The sequence below is a fragment of the Homo sapiens genome, chromosome 6, assembly GCF_000001405.40.
Source record: "Homo sapiens chromosome 6, GRCh38.p14 Primary Assembly".
Lineage (NCBI taxonomy): Eukaryota > Metazoa > Chordata > Mammalia > Primates > Hominidae > Homo > Homo sapiens.
Window position 1 is genome coordinate 83420897 of NC_000006.12, and position 22484 is coordinate 83443380.

General features: G+C 38.7%; 1 protein-coding gene across 1 annotated transcript in view, besides 5 other annotated features; it reads right to left on the bottom strand.

Annotated features, from left to right (window-relative positions):
• The window catches only part of ME1 (malic enzyme 1), a 220650-nt gene extending 210495 nt beyond the window's left edge, over positions 1–10155 (bottom strand). The window contains exon 1 of the mRNA NM_002395.6: positions 9981–10155. Coding sequence (NP_002386.1) covers positions 9981–10058 — 78 coding nt within the window. The 5' untranslated portion in view covers positions 10059–10155. The remainder of the gene's footprint in view (positions 1–9980) is intronic.
• Positions 9369–9638: an enhancer, noted in NCBI's record as "active region_24784". NCBI's record gives its function as "activates an Ori minimal core promoter by ATAC-STARR-seq in GM12878 lymphoblastoid cells {active_cell/tissue: GM12878}" and the evidence as "EXISTENCE:reporter gene assay evidence [ECO:0000049][PMID:35858748]".
• Positions 9859–10048: a silencer, noted in NCBI's record as "silent region_17358". NCBI's record gives its function as "represses an Ori minimal core promoter by ATAC-STARR-seq in GM12878 lymphoblastoid cells {active_cell/tissue: GM12878}" and the evidence as "EXISTENCE:reporter gene assay evidence [ECO:0000049][PMID:35858748]".
• Positions 10259–10428: an enhancer, noted in NCBI's record as "active region_24785". NCBI's record gives its function as "activates an Ori minimal core promoter by ATAC-STARR-seq in GM12878 lymphoblastoid cells {active_cell/tissue: GM12878}" and the evidence as "EXISTENCE:reporter gene assay evidence [ECO:0000049][PMID:35858748]".
• Positions 10259–11570: a biological region, named in NCBI's record as "MED14-independent group 3 enhancer GRCh37_chr6:84140986-84142185".
• Positions 10371–11570: an enhancer, noted in NCBI's record as "MED14-independent group 3 enhancer chr6:84140986-84142185 (GRCh37/hg19 assembly coordinates)". NCBI's record gives its function as "activates an origin of replication core promoter dependent on BRD2, BRD4, P300/CBP and CDK7 cofactors, and independent of MED14, by STARR-seq in HCT116 cells {active_cell/tissue: HCT116}" and the evidence as "EXISTENCE:reporter gene assay evidence [ECO:0000049][PMID:35650434]".

Here is a 22484-nt window from a genome sequence, read left to right on the forward strand (position 1 = left end):
GTTTTTGTTTTTGTTTTTTGTTTTTTTGTTTTTAGTTTTTTGTTTTTTTGGTTTTAAGTAGTGGACAGTTTAATAGGCACAAAAGAAGGGGAAAGAAAGAAAGAAGCTTCCCTGTATGCAGACAGGGAGGGGGGGCCCAAAGCCAAGAGAGGGAACCCCAAAGAAATTCTGAACGTCGAACTTGCTCTTCTCCTTCACAGCACAAAAAGGGGCACAAATGAAGTATGTAGATATCAAAAAGGCAAAACTTCTTTCTAAATCCTTAGAACACAGACATTTTATAAATTATGTATAGAGTTTTTGTCTTACATGAACCATTTCCACACAATAATCTTTATTATTAATATTGATTGGTATAGCAACTATGTACCCAGTAAAAAGGGAAAAAATGTTGAGTGTACATTTGGGAACCAATTGCCTGGTATTTTTCTTCTCCGAACTTAAAATCAAGTTAGACTGAGTTTCACACATTCATACCTTAAAAATAACAACCTGAGGGTCTGGTTCTGTGCAAAGTGGTAGCTATAGTATACCTTGTCTCTCCCACTAAATCCAACAATAATCCTTGTATAGAATGCGTTGAGCAGCTATTTGAAGACTGAAAAATACATGATAGCAGAAGAACTAAGGAAGAAGATTAGAATCTAAAGTACGACAAAACCAGATTAAGTTTCCTGGCATTTTTTCCTCCAATATGGCCTGGCTTTTTTTTCTCTCTGCTGTAATCAACTGGCCTTGACTCAAAAGCAGCAGAAAAGCTGGAAGTGCAATTGATTGTGTACAAAGACTGCCAAGAGAAGCCTTATCTTTCTGGTCCAAGAATCAGAAAGGGGGTGCTTAAAGGTCAGAGAAGGAAGAACATCCAATATTCTTTTCCACCTCTCTAGTCCCAACTCCCAGGTAATCCCACGGGGATGGCAGAAGCAATAACCACGACAGATGCCTAAAATTCTAAGGTAAGGGAATCATTCTTTTTACCAGAGGATATAGAGCTGGTCTCAAGATCGTAGGTCAAATGCCTGTTGCAACTTTCTCTCTGTCTTCCAATCGTATGGCATCAGATGCAAATAAATCTGGAGGAAGTACACAGCAGGGCAGGAAAACAAAAGCCCAGTTTTCCGGCCATGAGGACTGGAAAGGGGGTCCTCATGGAAACAAAAAATATCAGAGATCACAGAAAGAAGGGAACTCATGAGAGCAATCCCATAAAGTTGTATATTAACTTCTACACTCACTTTTGAGCTAAACGTGCATAGATTTGACCTTAAACAGCATACCAAAGGCTTTGAGAAGTAAACTATAGCATAGACTACTGCACAGATCCCACACTATCCACTGGGCGGTACACATAATGGACAAATACAAACAGTACTACTGAGTAGACTTTGAAAACCAAATTGATATCGGAACCGCAGGCCACAGGTGGGTCCAACTTGCAAAATCACCTAACCAGGTTGAGTGACCACTAAAGCAAAGAAGAACAGTATTCCCCTTAAGATACAACTGACAGCTAGAATCTCATAATATGCAAATGTCCAGAATAGATTAAAAAATCACTCAACATAGAAACAGGAAAACGTTAACTTGGAAAATAAAAGACTAATAAGCAAACACCAATCCTGAGGTGTCAGACCTTGAAATTTCTGTACAATGTACAAAGACTTACAATCAGTTATTATAACCATGCCTAAGAACATAAGGGCAAAGTCTTTCTAAATAAATGGAAAGAAAGTATTGGACAAGAAATAAAAGCTATACCAAATGGAAATTTTAGAACTTAAAAATACAATAATTATAATAAAATATTCATTGGATGGGCTGAAGAACAGAATTGAGATGAGAGTAGAAAGCATCAGTGAACTTAAAGCTGAATCATTAGAAACAAATCAGTTTGGAAAATAAAGAGAAAACAAGTCCTTAAAAAAGTAGGCCTTTTGATACTATCATATAGTCACCTGAGGCTCAGAGCCTCAGGACAATATCAAAAGGCCTAACATTTGTATCATCAGAGTCCCAGAAAGAGAGGAGAAAGAAAAAAATATTTGGAGAAAATAATGGCTGAAAACATATCAAATTTGATAAAAGACATATACTTACAGAATCAGGAAGCTCAGAAAACCCCAAGAAGATAAACCCCAAAACCTCCAAACCCAGAAACATTATATTTAAGATTCTGAAAGTGAAAAATAAAATACCATTAAAACATCCAGAGAAAACTGATGTATTACAAACATATATCAACTTGAATGACTGCAGATTTCTCATCAGGAAAAAGAAAGGGCGGGAGGAAGAGAAATGGCTTTTTTTTTTTTAGGTCTTAAAGGGAAAGAACTGTCAACTCATTATTATATAACTATTGAAAATATCCTTCACAAATGAAGATAAAATAGACATTCTCAGAGGAAGAAAAACTAAGACAATTAGTTTCCAGCAAACCTGCTTTAAAAAAATGTTAGAGGACATTCTTTAAATGGAAGAGAAATGATACCCCAAAACAAACACAGAACATGGGGAATGAAACAGAGTAACAGAAATAGTATCTACCTGGATAACTCTAATAGATTATCCTTTCCCTCTTAAACTCTTTAAAATATGTGTGACAGTTAAAAACAAAAGTTAGGGCCAGGCACAGTGGCTCAAATCTGTAATCCCAGCACTTTGGGAGGCTGAGGTAGGCAGACACCTTGAGCTCAGGAGTTTGACACTAGATGGGGTAACATGATGAAATTGTGTTTCTACAAAAAATATGAAAATTAGCCAGGAGTGGTAGCACATGCCTGTAGTCCCAGATGCTCAGGAAGCTAAGGTGGGAGGATTGCTTGAGCCTTGAGGTCAAGGCTGCAGTGAGCCATGTTACCACTGCCCTCCTGCCTGGATGACAAAGCAAGATTCTGTCTCAAAAAAAAATGAAAAATAAATAAAATAAAAATAAATAAAAGTTACAGGCCACACCTATAATACCAGCACTTTGGAAGGCCACAGTGGGAGGATTTCTTGAGCCCAGGAGTTTCAGACCAGTCTGGGGAACATGGCAAAATGCCATCTCTACAAAAAAATACAAAAATTAGCTAGGCATGATGGTGTGCACCTGAAGTTCCAGCTACTCAAGAGGACGGACTGAGTCTGGGAGGTCAAGGCTGCAGTGAGCTGTGATCACGCCATTGCACTCCAGCCTGGATAACAGAGCAAGACCCTGTCTCAAAAAAAAAAAAAAAGGTATAAACATTACATTAAATTACTATTTTAAAAATATTTGTGTAATACATATATAGAGATATAAGAGGATATAATACATATAACTACAACATAAATAGAGGAAGGTAATGAGATCTATATAATGGTAAGATCTCTATATTTCAATTGAAGTGGTGAAATTTTAACTTTAAGTTGACTGTGAAAAGTTCGGTATGTGTATCATAATCACCAGACCAAGTACTAAAAACAAGCTATACAAAGAAATATTGTCAAAAACTCACAGAATAAATCAAAATGGAATAATAAAAATATTTAAGTAATTAAAAATTAGGTTGGAAAGGAGAAATAGAGGAATGAAAAATAAGGGAACAGACACCTATGATATGATAGAAATCTGTTTATCTCTCTGTGTATCAACAATTACATTAAATGTAAATGGCCTAAACACAAAAATCAAAAGACAGAGATTGTCAAAAATTGGCAATGGCTACAAGCAAACCTGACTGATTAGATCATTACTGCTTCTCACCTACATGTTCCTGTCAAAGTCCAGAAAATGTCTACTAAACAAAGCAAGGGAAAGTGCTGTATTATGAAATTTTGCTTCAATTACAGAAGTATATCATTAGTTTGCTAGGGCTGCCACAACAAAGCGTCACACACTGGGTGGCTTAAACATAAATTTATTTTATCAAAGTTCTGAAGGATAGAAGTCCAAAATCAAGGTGTCTGGAGGGCTGATTTTATTCTATGGCTTCTCTCCTGGACTTACTAGATGGCCATCTTAAGACTCTGAATAGACAATTTAAATGTATTTAAATATATTCTAAGCTTAAAGGGCCAATGCCTAATAGTACAATGGAAGTCTTAGAACTCCTTCAGCCTCTGGATCTCTAAGGTTTTATTCTTTTGTTTTGTTTTGCTTTGTTTTGTTTTTCTGAGACAAGGTCTCAATCTGTCATACAGGCTGGAGTGCAGTGGGTGTGATCATGGCTCACTGTGGCCTCCCACCTCAGCCACTCAAGTAGCTGAGACTACAGGTGCACACCACCATGCCCAGCTTTTTGTATTTTTTTTTCTTTTTTGTAAAGATGGGATTTTGCTATGTTTCCCAGTCTGGTCTTGAACTCCTGGGCTCAAGTGATCCTCCTACCTCGGCCTCCCAGGTGGCTCACATCTGGCATTACAGGTGTGAGCCATCACAACTAGCCTGATAACATAATTACTAACATTGGTATGAATACTGTATTAGTCTGTTCTCATGCTACTAATAAAGACATATCCAAGACTGGGAAATTTATAAAGAAAGATGCTTAATTGACTCACAGTTCAGCATGGCTGGGTAGGCCTCAGGAAACATACAATCATGGCGGGAGGGGAAACAAACACATCCTTCTTCACATGGCGGCAGGAAAAAGAATGAGCAAAAGGGGGGAAAGCCCCTTATAAAACCATCAGATCTCGTGAGAACTCACTCACTACCAGGAGAACAGCAGCATGGGGGTAACCACCCCCATCATTCAATTACCTCCCACTGGGTCCCTCCCACAACACATGGGGATTATGGGAACTACAATTCAAGATGAGATTTGGGTAGGAACACAGACAAACCATATCAAACACACAAGTATTTTTGCCGATGTTCTTACTCAACCATTACCTGATTATTGAAAAAATAATACCAGTGTTTTTAAATCCAGGGTCTGTATATTAGTAGAAAAGCTCTAGCAGTTATATTCTCATGTTTTTAGAGAACATTATTCATTATTATATTACCTGACTTCCTACTATGGTTTCAATCTGTCCCCAAAAGTCCATGTGTTGTTAATCCCCAATGCAACTGTGTTAAGAGGTGGGATTTTTATGAGGTGACTAGTATTGTTAATGCAGGAGTGGGTTCGTTATTGCAAGCAAGAGTGGGTTCCTTTATAAAAGCAAGTTCAGCCCTCTCTTGCTCCTTCTCACCCTCTACCATCTTGCCTTCCGCCATGGGATGATGTAGCAAGGAGGACCTTCCCAGATGCTATATCACACAGCTAATTGGGAGGCTTGGGACTTGGGCTCATTTCTTCTAGGCACAAAGTTTTAGAATGTCCATTCCTTTACATCACATTCTCCCCTACCTGTCCAAAAGTTAGAGGGAAATCAGAGCTGAAAAAGGCAAAATCTCAAATCCATTCCTTTCTTCAATATTTTTTATACTCCATATCACCTGTCTCAAGAGTTACCATATCAAACTCACCTTTCTTATTACAGCACACATTTTGTTATTGTGATATTCTATACTACTACTGTTGTTTCCACTGCAGCAAGGTAACAAACATATACAGAGGTACCTGGCTGTATATGACTTTCACATAAGTGGGATTCTATGTTAAATAATAAATCAGTTTCTCACGTTGCAGAGGCAACTCTAGAGAATGTGGTTGGATGAAATTTTCTGAATAATTCATTCAGGTCTAGTTTACATTGAAGAAAAAGAGGTTTAGGGTACTTTTCCTTCATTGCCATGAATCTTATTTCTCTCTCTTTCTTACAACACACCCAACTAGGTCTTGTCATGCCAGGAAACAAACAGCTACAAAAGCTGATTTTTTAGATGTAAAAGTTAGTAATGATGACCCAAATTAACTTCGATAAAACACTATCTTCTACTGGAACGTAACTCTTAAACATGACTTATACTGAACCAAACTGCCTAAAATATGGAAGAGTGGTGTTGTTTGGAGATTTACTTATGGGTCATGTTATTATTTACTCTTAAGATATAGAAACCATGTAAGCACAATTATGATAGAACTATCAATTAGTGTTTTCTACCATTGCAAAGGGAAATAAACTAATTGAGAATAAAAAATAGGCATGATTATTTTATTATGTGTAGAATTTTAATTTTGAAGGGCAATTTATGAAATATTATTAGTCACATGAAAATTATTGAGAAAAAAATTTAAAACACAACTCATCTATATTAGACCATATCCCTGAAAATAAAAAACATTAAACATTAAATTAGACACATTTATATAAAACCGGCAAAGATAAGCATCTCAAAAATAGTTAGGGCTATGCACAGAAAAATATTAAATCTCATAAACATGAGGCAGATTTACTTCCCCAATTGTTTTGATGAAATCCTACCTTGAATGATGCATATTTTAATACAAACAAATAGTAAGGCTTAGACTCATACATGAATCATAACAAATGAAGATCCTAATTCTCTTAAGTTTTTTGAAAATTTTTGAATTCATACCATATCTACTGTTAACTTTGATTTTACCAAGATGAAGCACCTCCCTTAGGTTATCCAGCAAGTAATTAAAATTTCATGAGATTATCAAGCTTAAACCACATTTCAACTTTTCTGACTACATTTCAGCATACTATATAATGGCATAGGAAGTGAACTAAACTTTAGACTTCAATGTGAATTTATTTTCACAAAATTACTTTAAAGAGGACAATGCCTAAACTATCACTTTAAAAGCTGAGTTCTGTTTAAAGACAAAAATAAAGACATGGCTCATTCATTAAGTAAACATTTATTTAATGTCTACTGAGCAAAATACTGTACTAAATATTGTGACTCCTGCCCTATGACAATCAAAGAAATAAGAAAAAAAAATACAACTTATGGCCGGGTGCAGTAGCTCACGCCTGTAATCCCAACACTTTTGGGAGGCCGAGGCGGGCAGATCACTTAAGGTCAGGAGTTTGAGACCAGCGTGGCCAACATGACCAAACCCTGTCTCTATTAAAATATAGAAATTAGCTGGGCATAGTGGCACATGCCTGTAATCTCAGCTACTCAGGAGGCTGAGGCACAAGAGTCACTTGAACCCAGGAGGTAGAGTTTGCAGTGAACCTAGATCACACCACTGCACTCCAGCCTGGGCAACAGAACAAGGCTCTGTCTCAAAAAAAAAAAAAGGAAAATAAAAAGACAAGTTAGTAAATACAAAATTATATAGTACAACTGAATACATAAAAACAGAGGTGTTAAATAATAAGACTAACATAACTAAGAAATGCTTCCCTAGAAAGATCATTATTAAATCAACTAAGACATTTTCATAGTAGAAATTACACACAAAAAGGAAAGAATTAAGAGATTCAGCAAATATATTTTAAGTGGAAGCCTACATTGGGGAACGAATAAGATAAATTTGGAGAAGACTGTAAACCCAATTGACAGACTGATTTTACATTAAACATAATAGGAAATAATAACATACTATAAATGCTTGGATAATAGAAAAGTGAAGAAAATGTTAATTAATGAAGGTGTCTCTTTCATATATATATGTAGAATGAACTATATCAATGGAAATAAAACCAGCAAAACTGTTGTTGCAGCTACCCAAAGGTAAATGATGAAGTTCTGTGTTAGTGTGGTTGAAGAAGACATGTGACAGGCTGGGTTGTTGAGGGAAGTAAAATCTACTCTTGTCTCTTTGGAGCCAAGGTTATTACAAAATAATAAGAATAAAAATAAGCCAAAACATTCCTGAGCTACTAGCAAAATTAAAGGCCTAGAGGTCTTGAATGTATGACAGATGAAGAAAGTCCCATAGCTGTAGTTTCAATGGTACATAGGAAACTCTGTTACTCCCATAAGGTACCAGATAACCATCCTAGAACTGAGTAAAAGATTATTCCATCGATTGCCTCCAAGTTGGTACACTGGATTGTGGATCCAATTTGACATAATGCAGATAAAAAGTTCAAGTATTACAAATTTGAAAATGTGCTTTTAACATATTAATGTTACATCTTATCTTTGATAGAAGATCTTTGTGATACTATTATTCTGAAGTAGGAATTAATCCTTAATTCCTAGTAACCTTGTGAACAGGAGTCACAAGGATTGTTATATCATAAATTCTTGGCTGGGCGCGGTGGCTCATGCCTGTAATCCCAGCACTTTGGGAGGCTGAGGCGGGTGGATCACGAAGCCAGGAGATCGAGACAATCCTGACTAACACGGTGAAACCCAGTCTGTACTAAAAGTACAAAAAATTTGCCGGGCATGGTGGCGGGCGCTTGTAGTCTCAGCTACTCGGGAGGCTGAGGCAGGAGAATGGCGTGAACCCAGGAGGTGGAGCTTGCAGTGAGCGGAGATCGCGCCACTGCACTCCAACCTGGGCGACAGAGCGCGACTCCGTCTCAAATAATAATAATAATAATAATAAATTCTTGATGTAAGCATAGTAAAGGCAATAATTACTCTTGCTCAGGGATTGCTCATGCCATCTACATACTCTTAATAGACACTCTTGCCCCCAACTTGAGGAAAATCAAACAGGTTATACAACTCATGTGGTCCTTCTTAAGTGTCAACCCACAACTTGGTCATAAATTACAGTAGGCAGGTGACACATACAAGTCACAAATAGTTTTGTCACATCAAATTTTACTTTTGTTCTACTGAAAATAGGTGGCAAACCTGCAGAATAATAAAAGAAAAGAAAAAACAATCAAACTAGCAATTAAATTTATTTTAAAGAAAGAAATAAGTTGGAATTATTTACAATTTAATAATGCTACATGACGGCAGATAGCACACAGTCATAGATTTGTAAAAGGTGCCTGTCACCACACACACAAAAAAAATCACTCACACTGACTATAACTTGTTAAATAAATCATGTCTTTAAGTCATTAATATGATCAACAAATCATCAGGAACACGACAAGGAAAAAGCTGAGCTTCTGTTCTTAATGTGAAATGCAGTCCACCAAAGAGACAACCAAAATAACTAAACAAACCTCTGTGCTGACTGATGGCATTTTCAGACTCCTGAATAAATAGGAAATGTCCAAAGCGCACGCACACACACACACAAAAGGAACAATCCCGAGACAAACCTGGCTGTAAAATAAGTGTGGAAGCAAAATGATAAATTCGGAGGTATTTTTTATTTGAGAGACATCCCGAGTGCTTATATTGCATCACCAGTGAAGGAAAATGAAATGTTACCAGGATCCGAAAAGGAGTCTCTGAACAGGGTGTACACTGAATTCCCCTTTAATAAAAAGAGAGCAGCTCTAAACAAAATTTTTTTTTAACTTCCAGAAAGCCAAATTAAAAACAAAACAAAACAAAACAAAACAAAAGAAAGAAAGAAAAGAAATGGCTTTACCCACAGTCCCATGTCTGGGACAGAGTTCTTCTACCAAGCCATGCAAAGTGTCCAAGACAGAGGCCACCCACCACGCATTCCCAGACTCTTAACCGTGTCACTCCAGAAACCGAGAGGACTTGGATTTCCAGATTGCTAACGTGATCTGAAGGCACTCAGTACACGTTTCTGTCTGGGCAGGACCAGTTGAGCCACTTCTCGCCTTATCAACTTCCAATAATTGCCACACTGTGTGTGCAACCAGTAAGTGAGTGGCACATGGAGTCTGACCTGGCACTCCATTCACACACTTTGTCTGATACTACTTTCATTGTCTGGGCTCTTGTTTTTGGAGAAGAGCTGCCGAAAAGTATCACCTTTTCCTCTATCACTAACCTTTACCTTTACCTCTATCCCTAACATGGGATGCCGAGGTGCAGAGGCACCAGCACTGCCCTGCCATCACTCTAGTGGATACGGACCCGATTAGGCGTCCTTCTTCCTTCTGCCCACACCAAGGCCCCCCAGGCCGCGGCCGCTCACCGGGAACCTTCCCAGGGGAGCGGCGGAGGGGCGAGGCCATGGTGCGGGGACCTGCAAGAGGGCCCTGACCCTGATAGAGAGGGGCCGATGGGCGGCCAGGTGGGCCTGCGGGTTTACCTTGTTGAGGTGAGGGTTCCGTGTCAGCAGGTAGCCGCGCTGATGGGTGTGGCGGCGACGGGGGGCTTCGGGCTCCATGGCTGGCGCCGGGTTCGGCGGCGGGGTCAGGCCGGGGCGGGCCGCACGCGCGGTGCAGGCGGCGGATGCTGCTGGGGTGACGGTGCTGACTGCAGCTGTGGCGGCGGCGGCCGCACTGGGAAAGGCCCAGCGGCTGGGGGCGGGCGTGGGTGGCGAGAGGGGGTGGACGCGTCGGGAGGGGCCCGAGCGAAGCCGGTGTCCCCAGCAGGGCAGCCTGCGAGAAGCGCTGAGTCATGGCAGGAGATCATCCGAGCCGGCGTGTGAGGAGGAGGAGGAAGAGCGAGTCCTGGCAGCGCTGCTGGTGGCGGAGCGGGGGTGGCGGCCGGAGCCCTTGGCTCCATAGGGCCTCTGCCCACCATGGGCTTATGATCACCGCTGTGGTCGCCTCTCTCCATGTGGGCATGCCTAAACGCAGTGCACTGGGTGGCTCTGCTGACCCCAGAGACCCAGGGCGGGGGCAGGGAGCGGGGAGCGTCAGGCCAGGATCCCCCTGCCCGGGAAGGCTGGAGAAAGTGCGAGAAGATGCCAGAAGGTGCGAACCTGAGCGGTTCAGGCAGAGCCGGCGGTCGCTCAGACACCTAGGGGGATTACAGGACGGAAGGACTCGTGAGGGGTCCCCAGAACTGTTGACAGAACACCTCGACAGGCTGAGGAGAATCAGACTCGTCTCTCCTGTCTTGTTAGCGTCTTGGAAGCCCTCTTTCTACAGATCCACAACCTTCGCCGTGCCATCCAGGATGCCGGCCATGCCCGGGGCCCTGAGGCCGGAGGGAACCAACCTTGACCCAGAATGCCGAGGCCCAAGGGAACTGGGAGGAAGCCCAGAGAGGAGAGCTCAGGCGCCACACCTGTCAGTTTCTACAGATTTTCCACCGGAATTGTATTTGAATGTCAATAAGATAAGAGTCAAGGTGTTAGGGTGCAAAGGCCCAATGAACAGTCCTGTTTATCTTGTATATTATTTCTCTGGGAGTTCTAGAAACCTGATGTTCAAGAACCACTGCTCTCTCTGAATAATGATGAGTAAGCAGTCTTTCAGGCCTTCCTCCCAACCTCAGGTGATCCGCCCGCCTCCGCCTTCCAAAGTGCTGGGATTATAGGTGTGAGCCACCGCGCCGGGCCATTTTTTTATTGTTTTATTGATATTTATGCTTGGAGGTTCATGGACTGGAGGAATAGTCAGATCATAGCCAAAAGGAGTGCCTGTCTGATAAAAATAAATTAATAGCAACAGACACTAAAGCCTTCTGTGCCCCAGTTTCCTTTTCAGTTAAATAGGATTGCTAGTTTCTGTCCCATTTGTCTCTGCATACTGATATTACAAAGGATAGTGTTTGAGATTATTTGCTGATTTTATATCTCCATATACTAGACACACATCCAATCACAGTGTTTTCATTTCTAGTTATGTTAACTTTGCCTTATCAGAAAGATTTCTTACAGTAATTGTATTTTGTCCGTATTTACATTTAGAAGCTTCTTTGACCTCGCCTGAATTATCTAGAATTCGTTGTTTTTATAGAGAATATTTTCTAGGCATCACAAAGTTCTTTTTGAAAAAAATCCTTGAAGTTAAATGACACCTTTCATTGTTAATTCTATACTCCATAAATACTCAATCCTACAACATCTAAGAAAAAGGTGTACTTTACACAACTCACTCTCCTGAATTAACTGAGACACATTACAGTTAGGGTGTTTTATGTGAGAGGAAACAGTTTAACAGCTGGCATGGGAGCCAATTCAAGCTGCTTAAGAAGAAACAAAAATGTTAGTACAACAGACCCTTATTATAATAAAGTACTTATTACATGAATTTAGATATACTACCTACCTGTTCCTGTTTCTGAGATTTAATATCTACAGATAGGAAAAGTGTTATAAGTACAGGGAGTAACCCACAAAGAGTATATGGCCTCTCCCTCAAAGGCAACATTACAAGGGGATTACAATATCCTGCCAGTAGTAGGTAAAGTTCACATCTTTCATCTGTATGTTTATTTTAATTATTAAAATAACCGCCGTCATCTTGAATGAAACAGGATAAGGCCTAGCTGAAGAAGCCATTTAGTACATTCATATGTAGTTCCAAGAATACTAGAAAGAACCTATTTTTCTACATAAATGTTAGCTAGAATATCAAAATTTTCAGTCTTTTTTAAATAATAATCTCATAAGGTTAGGTTTTATTTCCAAAAACGTAGGAAAACAGATGCAGAGAAAAAAACTGCTTTAATTTGCCTTGTAACAAACTGTGGTTGCACTGTCACTCTGAAAGCAATTGGTAATGTTAAGAATGGGTATCATTCACAAATTAAGAGACTAAAACATAGATTTCTGTTATACACAGGTGAGAATGCCATCAGTCAAAATCAGATTTTTCTTTCCCAAGTTATAGTTTAGCACACAAAGAGCTTTTACAACATAAAATATGATTGTAATAGATACTCTGATGTAATGTCAGTTGAGATTGCAAGTATAGAAAATTCAGGAAATAACTCTTAGTACATACAGCAATTCTAATATTTTACTTTCATGAGATAAAAAAGATTAATAGAAAAAATACATATCTAGGTGAGGATTTATAATATTAACTAAATGATTCTGTATTTCTTCACACAAAAAGCACACTACTACTATGTCTTCAAAATCTAGTGTGCATTTTATAACACATCTCAATTTAGACACCAAATTTTTATCAGAAATTTGATCTGTATTTCAATTTTATAAAACTTACATTTGCAATAGTAGACTCTCATACCTAACTTGTTGCAAATATACCTTAAAGTTTTCCAATGACTAAATTGAGTATCTGTTTTATATTTAAATTAAAATCAAATACAATTTAAACTGAGTATCTCATTTGCACTGGCCACATTTCAAATGCTTAGTAACATGCCAGTGACCATCGAATTAGAGAGCACAAGTCTAATCCAATGCATTTGGGCCCTTAATTAAATGTTTTAAATAAATAAAGATCAAATATACATACCTGTGTTATTGTAATGTTCATACAGATGTTGTTACATGAATCGCAGAGTAACTCAAGTTATACTACCTTATTAGTTTCACATATATAGCTATTTATAACCGTAAATGCATGCAACATACTGATTTTCTTTACAAAGCACTGATTCTTTTCCTTCTTCTCAGATAGTCAACCCAGTTGTTTCATTCCTCAAACCATTTTGTTAAAAGTTCACATCCCAGTTGATAACATGGCATATGGAATAAAATTCTAAATTAGTAAAACTGCATTTAAATAAACCTTCTGAAATTCAGATGTCCACATAACTATTGTACTTCAAGACAGCAAACTGCTGGAGAAATTTTGCACATACTCTCAACATTGCTGCCATTATTTTCCCCCCAACAGAGTCTCACGCTGTTGCCCAGGCTGGAGTGCAGTGGCGTAATCTTGGCTCACTGCGACCTCCGCCTCCTAGGTTCAAGTGATTCCCCTGCCTCAGCCTCCCTAGTAGCTGGGGTTACAGGAATGCACCACACATCTGGCTAATTTTTGTATTTTTAGTAGAGACAGGGTTTCACCATGTTGGCAAGGCTGATCTCAAATTTCTGACCTCAAGTGATCTGCCCGCCTCAGCCTCCCAAAGTGCTGGGATTACAGGCGTGAGCCACAGCATCTGGCCAGCTGCCATTATTTGAAATGTTTCTCAGTTCCTCTTTTGGAATTATTTCTTATTTACTCTGGGTAAACACTATACCACATTCTTTTAAGAGCATTTTATTAGTTTCAGGCCAGGCATTGTGGCTCACACCTGTAATCTCAGCATTCGGGGAGGTCAAGGCAGGAGGATCACTTGAAGCCAGGAGTTCAAGACCAGCCTGGGCAACAAAGTGAGACCCTGTCTCTACAAAAAACTTGAAAAAAAAAAAAATTATCCCGGTGCGGTGGCATGCACCTATAGTCCCAGCTATTCAGGAGGCTGAAGCAGAAGAATTGCTTGAGCCCAGGAGGTCAAGCCTACAGTGAGCCACGATTGTGCCACTGTACTCCAGCCTAAGCAACAGAGCAAGGCTCTGTCTCAAAAAAAAAAAAAAAAGATTATATTAGTTTTACGTCCACAGGTACCAGGGATTAGAACTTCAAAATATCTTTTCAGGGGACACAGTTCAATCCATAACAAGAATGAAGTCTAGAATCAGACTGACTGGGTTTGAATCTTTCCAGCCCTGTGTCTTTGAAAATCTTATTACCTCGGGGCCTCAGCTTCCTCATCAGAAAAATGAGGATATTAAAAGTACCTGCCTTTTAAAGTTGTTATGGGGATTAAAAGAGGTGATTTTTGTGTATTTATTCAATAAATATTTACAGATTAACCTACTATGTGTCAGCCCCTGATATACGCCCTGGAAGATTTATAGTGAATAATACAAATTCTCTGTCATCTAGAAATTACATCCTACTGAGATAATAAACAAGCTATACTATGTCATATCATATAATACAGATAGACATGTAAAGCACTTAGAACAGTGCCTGTCCCATAGTAAGCATTCAACAAATGTTATTCCTTTCCTTCCAGATCTGGTTCATCTTATGAAGCCATTCCCCATTCCCTCACATTATTTCCCCCTTAATTTATTCAAAATGTTTCTTGAACACTTCCTCTATGCCAAGCCTTAGACTAGGCACTGGTATGCAAACATAAGCTTATGGGGAGAAACAGCCAATACACAAGTAAAGAAGTAGGTAATTATGAAATCCGAACTGTAAAAGAAATGAGTGTGCACTTCAGCAATTAGCAACATGAAGACTGATATTTTTGAATATTCATAATGTTTTAAATTGTATTTTTATTGGTATTTGGGATGTCTTGTGTTTAAGTACTTGAAAATCTCTCTGAATGGTAGAAGTATTCTTTCAAATGTAAATAAAAGATAGCTTCAGTAACACTTCGCTTCTATGTTCATAATAAATTTGCCCCCACTGGGGATATTCCCAGAAATACTTCAATTTTGAAGGGGGAAAATACTCATTTAGACAGATAATAGCTGGTGTACTTGTCAACAAGGCATTAAAGTTAGTAATCTAGAATATAGACTTTGGACTAAGAGTTCCTGGGCTCCTGTTCCAATTTTGCCAACTTTGTCAAGTTACTTACCTCCCTTTGTCTCCTCCAATGATTTATCCTCATCATAGTAAGCCCTACATGGGTATTTGTCAAATGAAAACAAAGACAAAAATAAATCAGGTGCATTTCTCTGTATACTTACTTACATCTTTTAAAAAGAAAACGCTATCAATCACTAAAAGAAATTCAAATATTGACCAGGCACGGTGGCTCATGCCTGTAATCCCAGCACTTTGGGAGGCCGAGGTGGCAGATCACCTCATGTCAGGAGTTCAAGACCAGCCTGATCAACATGGAGAAACCCTGTTTCTACTAAAAATACAAAAATTAGCTGGGCATGATGGCACTCTCCTGTAATCACAGCTACTCGGGAAGCTGAGGCAGGAGAATCGCTGAACCTGGTAGGCGGAGATTGCAGTGAGCCAGGATTGCACCGCTGCACTCCAGCCTAGGCAACAGAGCAAGACACCATCTCAAAAAAAAAGAAAAAAAAGAAAAAAGAAAATAAAGAAAGAAATTAAAATATTCTAAGAATATAAATTTTACTTACAATTTTAGCAATTACAGGTTTTGGCTTTAGAAAGTAGAATTAAGTGACTAGACAAGGTTAAGTATTAATCTTGTAGAATTAATTAATATTGTATTGGATTTTTCTGTTTGTGTTTTTTACTCTCATATAACAAAGTAAAAATTTTCTGAAACTGCTTGTTTCTAATTTTCATGTTTTCCCAGCTATCACCACAGTATACCTTCTACAAAACATCATTTCTCTATCTAGGTCAGGGGTCAGCTATCTATGTATGTCATGCTAAAGCTTGCCACTAGTGCCTGTGCCAGTCCAAACCTGTTCTCTAGGTTGAAAATGGTAGAGCTGTTCAGATTCTACAAGAAGAAAGGAAATTATGTCACTCCCAAATTAGGAAAAGCTTATGGGATATTTCAGCTATTTATCAGTATGTAACACATTACTGCAACATTTAATAGCTTAAAACAGTAACAATCATTACATTATCTCTCATGGTTTCTGTGCATTTGGAATTTGAGAAGGTCTTAGATTGTTAGTTCTGGCCCAGGGTTTCTCATGTCGTTGCAGTTAAACAGTGGCTGGTAAAAGGGGGTGAGGGGTGGCCATGCATGCTCTCTCTGTCTCTCTCTCTCTCTCTTATCTCCACCCTCATCTCTATTTCTATCTCTCAAGTAGTCTCAGGCTCTCTACATATATGATCTTTTATTATGGGCCAGTTTGAGTTCTTCACAGCATGGCAGCCTCAGGACAGTCAAAGTGCTTACCGGGAGCTCGAAGGCTTTCAGAGCAACCATTCCAGGGAAAAGGACAGAATGTGCCTTTCCTTTGGGTGACCTAGCCTTAGAGGTCACATATTGTCACTTTTTTCTTACTCTCTTGATCCAAACAGTCATAAAAGCCTGTCCCAATTGGAGGAGTGTCAAAGTTACGTGTAAGAAGAGCTTGTATGATAGGATAAATGTTGCAGCCATTTGGAAAATACAGTCACACACATGGATGTATAAAGAAACCTGTTTAACTGTTTGTTCCCAACACTTTTTTATGTCACTTTTTTAACTCATCTGAAATAAGGAGAGGGTGGTGCACTTGATACGGACAAATTCTTGACACCAATATAAAATGTGCATAAATAAATAAGTTGAGAAAAACTTAGCCGGGCATGGTGGCTCACACCTGTAATCCCAGCATTTTGGGAGGCAGAGGCGGGCAGATCGCCTGAGCTCAGGAGTTTGCTACCAGCCTGGGCAACATGGTGAAACCCCATCTCTACTAAAATACAAAAAATTAGCCAGGTGTGGCGGCGGGCGCCTGTAGTCCCAGCTACTCGGGAGGCTGAGGCAGGAGAATTGCATGAACCCGGGAGGCGGAGGTTGCAGTGAGCCAAGACCATGCCACTGCACTCCAGCCTGGGTGGCAGAACGAGACTCTGTCTCAAAAAAAAAAAAAAAAAAGAATACCATATTAAAAATAATACTGGACACTGAATATTGAATGGATGGAGAATTTTCTTTATAGAGAGACAGTGTGTTGCAATGTTGCCCAGGCTGGACTTGAACTTCTGGCTTTAAGCGATCCTCCTACCTTAGCCTCCCAAAGTGCTGGGCCACCACAAGTGGCCTGAAAATTTTTTCAATTTGGAAAAATCTGCTTCCAAACTGTTGATGGTTTGTTTCCTTTTGTAGTTCTGTAATGTTTGAAGTTTTCAAAAAAAAAAAAAAAAAAAAGGTATCTATTACTTTTACATTCAGGAAAAAAAAAAAAGATCACTTAACAGTTGGAACATACCCCAGGGGAGGATATAATGAAAGCAATATATTATAAAACTTTAGGAATCACACTATTTTTTCTTTTGTTCCAAAGTTAATTTGAGATGATGATCTGGCATCATACTTTACTACCTTCCTGCAGTGTGGATACCTTAAAATCTCTGACTGCTTGCCAGTAGGCACTGAAGCCAGCCACATAATGCAACTCTGAATTAGGGAGGGTAAGTTTCAGAATACCTTATTCCACCTGTGTGGATCCACCCTGCTATCCTTACTTTGAAAAAGCCAGACTAAAAATAAACCAAAATGATCTTAAAAATTAAAAAGTAAAATTTTTAAAAACTTTATAGAAAGTTTAACTTTTTTTGTAACAATATAGATTGAATTTATTTAACCCAGACCTACCTAAAGAACAGATTGTCATATAACTTATTTAATAAATAATTGACTTTCAAATACAACATGATGCTAATAGTAATTCGCTAGGCAACAGTATTACGTGGCTTTTTACTTCTCAGTATTTTTCTACATATTTTGAGAAATTTGATGCTAGAGTTAGAGAAAATAAACATTTAATATTTATTTTTGAGTAAAGTTTTACAAACACAAAAATATAGTGGTTCAAAAACTATTAAAACTTCTCTTTGGAATGCCTAGCTAATTCTTGCTTTAAAATTGGCATTAGTTTCTGGTACCGTGTTAAATTATTTGGCTTCTTATCTCAAACAGATATATTTTTTTAAATGAATAAAAAAAATCACACAGACAAAAGAGCCTTATCAAATTGCTTCATTTAATTTGAATAATCTAGACAGAATATTCTTTGTTTTGGAGATCAGGTCAAAACACAAACTTTTTTAATTTGTTAACTTTGTTAACCACTCTAACTAGTGGTTAACATCCAATGACCTGCCAGAAAAAGAATGAAGCCAGCGTTAAGCACAAACTATCAATCTGTAATGTCACCAGACACTTGGCATTTCTAATCTAGTTCTAAGCTGAAGCTCCTAATTTAATGACAAAGCTCCACATTTTCTGGTTCTTGGAAGAGGGAGAATGTGTGCATGAAAGGTTGTACTCAGGAGAGTTATACAAGAGATTCATTCATGATAGAGGGAGAGACCTGAATGAAAGCACGTAGGCCAGAGGAAATTTAGAGTGTTAAAATGCATTTTGAAGACATGGTCCAATTCCTGAAGAGAAACTGGGGAATCTTTGGGCAGGAGGGAAAAAAATCATGTGGATTTGGAAGGAAAGTTATTAAGTCACTTTGGGGTTTTGACAATATCCAAGGTTTTTGTACTTGTTATCCACACAAATCCATTCAAGACTTCCAAATAAGAGTGGAACTTAGATATATAATCATGTCGTCTGCAAACTGGGACAATTTGACTTCCTCTTTTCCTAATTGAATACCCTTTATTTCCTTCTCCTGCCTAATTGCCCTGGCCAGAACTTCCAACACTATGTTGAATAGGAGTGGTGAGAGATGGCAGCCCTGTCTTGTACCAGTTTTCAAAGGGAATGCTTCCAGTTTTTGCCCATTCAGTATGATATCGGCTGTGGGTTTGTCATAGATAGCTCTTATTATTTTAAGATACGTCCCATCAATACCTAATTTATTGAGAGTTTTTAGCATGAAGGATTGTTGAATTTTGTCAAAGGCCTTTTCTGCATCTATTGAGATAATCATGTGGTTTCTGTCTTTGGTTCTGTTTATATGCTGGATTACATTTATTGATTTGCATATATTGAAACAGCCTTGCATCCCAGGGATGAAGCCCACTTGATCATGGTGCATAAGCTTTTTGATGTGCTGCTGGATTCGGTTTGCCAGTATTTTATTGAGGATTTTTGCATCAATGTTCATCAAGGATATTGATCTAAAATTCTCTTTTTTGGTTGTGTCTCTGCCCGGTTTTGGTATCAGGATGATGCTGGCCTCATAAAATGAGTTAGGGAGGATTCTCTCTTTTTCTATTGATTGGAATAGTTTCAGAGGGAATGGTACCAGTTCCTCCTTGTACCTCTGGTAGAATTCGGCTGTGAATCCATCTGGTCCTGGACTCTTTTTCGTTGGTAAGCTATTGATTATTGCCACAATTTCAGCTCCTGTTATTGGTCTACTCAGAGATTCAACTTCTTCCTGGTTTAGTCTTGGGAGAGTGTATGTGTCGAGGAATTTATCCATTTCTTCTAGATTTTCTAGTTTATTTGCGTAGAGGTGTTTGTAGTATTCTCTGATGGTAGTTTGTATTTCTGTGGGATCGGTGGTGATATCCCCTTTATCATTTTTTATTGTGTCTATTTGATTCTTCTCTCTTTTTTTCTTTATTAGTCTTGCTAGCGGTCTATCAATTTTGTTGATCCTTTCAAAAAACCAGCTCCTGGATTCGTTAATTTTTTGAAGGGTTTTTTGTGTCTCTATTTCCTTCAGTTCTGCTCTGATTTTAGTTATTTCTTGCCTTCTGCTAGCTTTTGAATGTATTTGCTCTTGCTTTTCTAGTTCTTTTAATTGTGATGTTAGGGTGTCAATTTTGGATCTTTCCTGCTTTCTCTTGTGGGCATTTAGTGCTATAAATTTCCCTCTACACACTGCTTTGAATGTGTCCCAGAGATTCTGGTATGTTGTGTCTTTGTTCTCGTTGGTTTCAAAGAACATTTTTATTTCTGCCTTCATTTCGTTATGTACCCAGTAGTCATTCAGGAGCAGGTTGTTCAGTTTCCATGTAGTTGAGCGGTTTTGAGTGAGATTCTTAATCCTGAGTTCTAGTTTGATTGCACTGTGGTCTGAGAGATAGTTTGTTATAATTTCTGTTCTTGTACATTTGCTGAGGAGAGCTTTACTTCCCAGTATGTGGTCAATTTTGGAATAGGTGTGGTGTGGTGCTGAAAAAAATGTATATTCTGTTGATTTGGGGTGGAGATTTCTGTAGATGTGTATTAGGTCCGCTTGGTGCAGAGCTGAGTTTAATTCCTGGGTATCCTTGTTGACTTTCTGTCTCGTTGATCTGTCTAATGTTGACAGTGGGGTGTTAAAGTCTCCCATTATTAATGTGTGGGAGTCTAAGTCTCTTTGTAGGTCACTCAGGACTTGCTTTATGAATCTGGGTGCTCCTGTATTGGGTGCATATATATTTAGGATAGTTAGCTCTTCTTGTTGAATTGATCCTTTTACCATTAAGTAATGGCCTTCTTTGTCTCTTTTGATCTTTGCTGGTTTAAAGTCTGTTTTATCAGAGACTAGGATTGCAACCCCTGCCTTTTTTTGTTTTCCATTTGCTTGGTAGATCTTCCTCCATCCTTTTATTTTTTTTCGCAAACTACTCATCTGACAAAGGGCTAATATCCAGAATCTACAATGAACTCAAACAAATTTACAAGAAAAAAACAACCCCATCAAAAAGTGGGCAAAGGACATGAACAGACACTTCTCAAAAGAAGACATTTATGCAGCCAAAAAACACATGAAAAAATGCTCACCGTCACTGGCCATCAGAGAAATGCAAATCAAAACCACAATGAGATACCATCTCACACCAGTTAGAATGGCAATCATTAAAAAGTCAGGAAACAACAGGTGCTGGAGAGGATGTGGAGAAATAGGAACACTTTTACACTGTTGGTGGGACTGTAAACTAGTTCAACCATTGTGGAAGTCAGTGTGGCGATTCCTCAGGGATCTAGAACTAGAAATACCATTTGACCCAGCAATCCCATTATGGGGTATATACCCAAAGGACTATAAATCATGCTGCTATAAAGACACATGCACACGTATGTTTATTGTGGCATTATTCACAATAGCAAAGACTTGGAACCAACCCAAATGTCCAACAATGATAGACTGGATTAAGAAAATGTGGCACATATACACCATGGAATACTATGCAGCCATAAAAAATGATGAGTTCATGTCCTTTGTAGGGACATGGATGAAATTGGAAATCATCATTCTCAGTAAACTATAGCAAGAACAAAAAACCAAACACCACATATTCTCACTCATAGGTGGGAATTGAACAATGAGATCACATGGACATAGGAAGGGGAACATCACACTCTGGGGACTGTTGTGGGATGGGGGGAGGGGGGAGGGAAAGCACTGGGAGATATACCTAATGCTAGATGATGAGTTAGTGGGTGCAGCGCACCAGCATGGCACATGTATACATATGTAACTAACCTGCACATTGTGCACATGTACCCTAAAACTTAAAGTATAATAATAATAAATAAATAAAAAAAAGAGTGGAACTTATATTGACACAAAAACCTTTATGTGTAATTTTTTAAATTTCCAGGCCATTCATATTTAGATTTGGAGATATTCTTTGCTGGAATACTAGAAAACTTTTGAGTATTCTTTGCTAGAACCATATGCAGAAAAATGTGGAGTAAGTAATTCTGAGCTTCCTCCCTGCTCGTTCCACCTCCACTGGCTGTTCATCCTCTGGGGCTAATGGAGCAGAAAAGGAGGCTCCTCAGCGTACTTTCCTCTCTGATTGCTGTGGAAACTGCTCTGTCATGCAGTTAAATTGGGCTGTGGAGAGATCTGAGACCATTATGCCCCCACTGTGGTTTTAGTGTGGTAGAGTATCAGGGCAAGGCAGGAATTAAGTTTTATCAGGCAAACCAGAACTGCACAAAGGGAAGATGAATAATCCCCACACTCTTGCTTCATCCCTTCCCTTTCCTTTCTTCATGCTTTACTAAGCCATTTGATGCAATGGAAAAAAACAAGCAGCAAGCAGTGAAAAGATCATCCTAAGCATATAAAGGGAGTCAGAAGGAAGAAAAATCAAATCTTTTCAAAATGTTTCAGTATTGAGCTAGATAATATCATAGAATACAGATTGACACATGTATCATACAATAGCTCTCATTTTACAAATAAAGTAAGATAAAGGACACTTAAAGATGGACATTAAAATTGCCCCCCTGCCAATAAAAAGCAAACTCACAAAAAAGCCTAATCAATTCTTTTCAAATTTTCCCACTTCTCCACTAGGTCAAGAGGTCTCAACCAAATATTTTT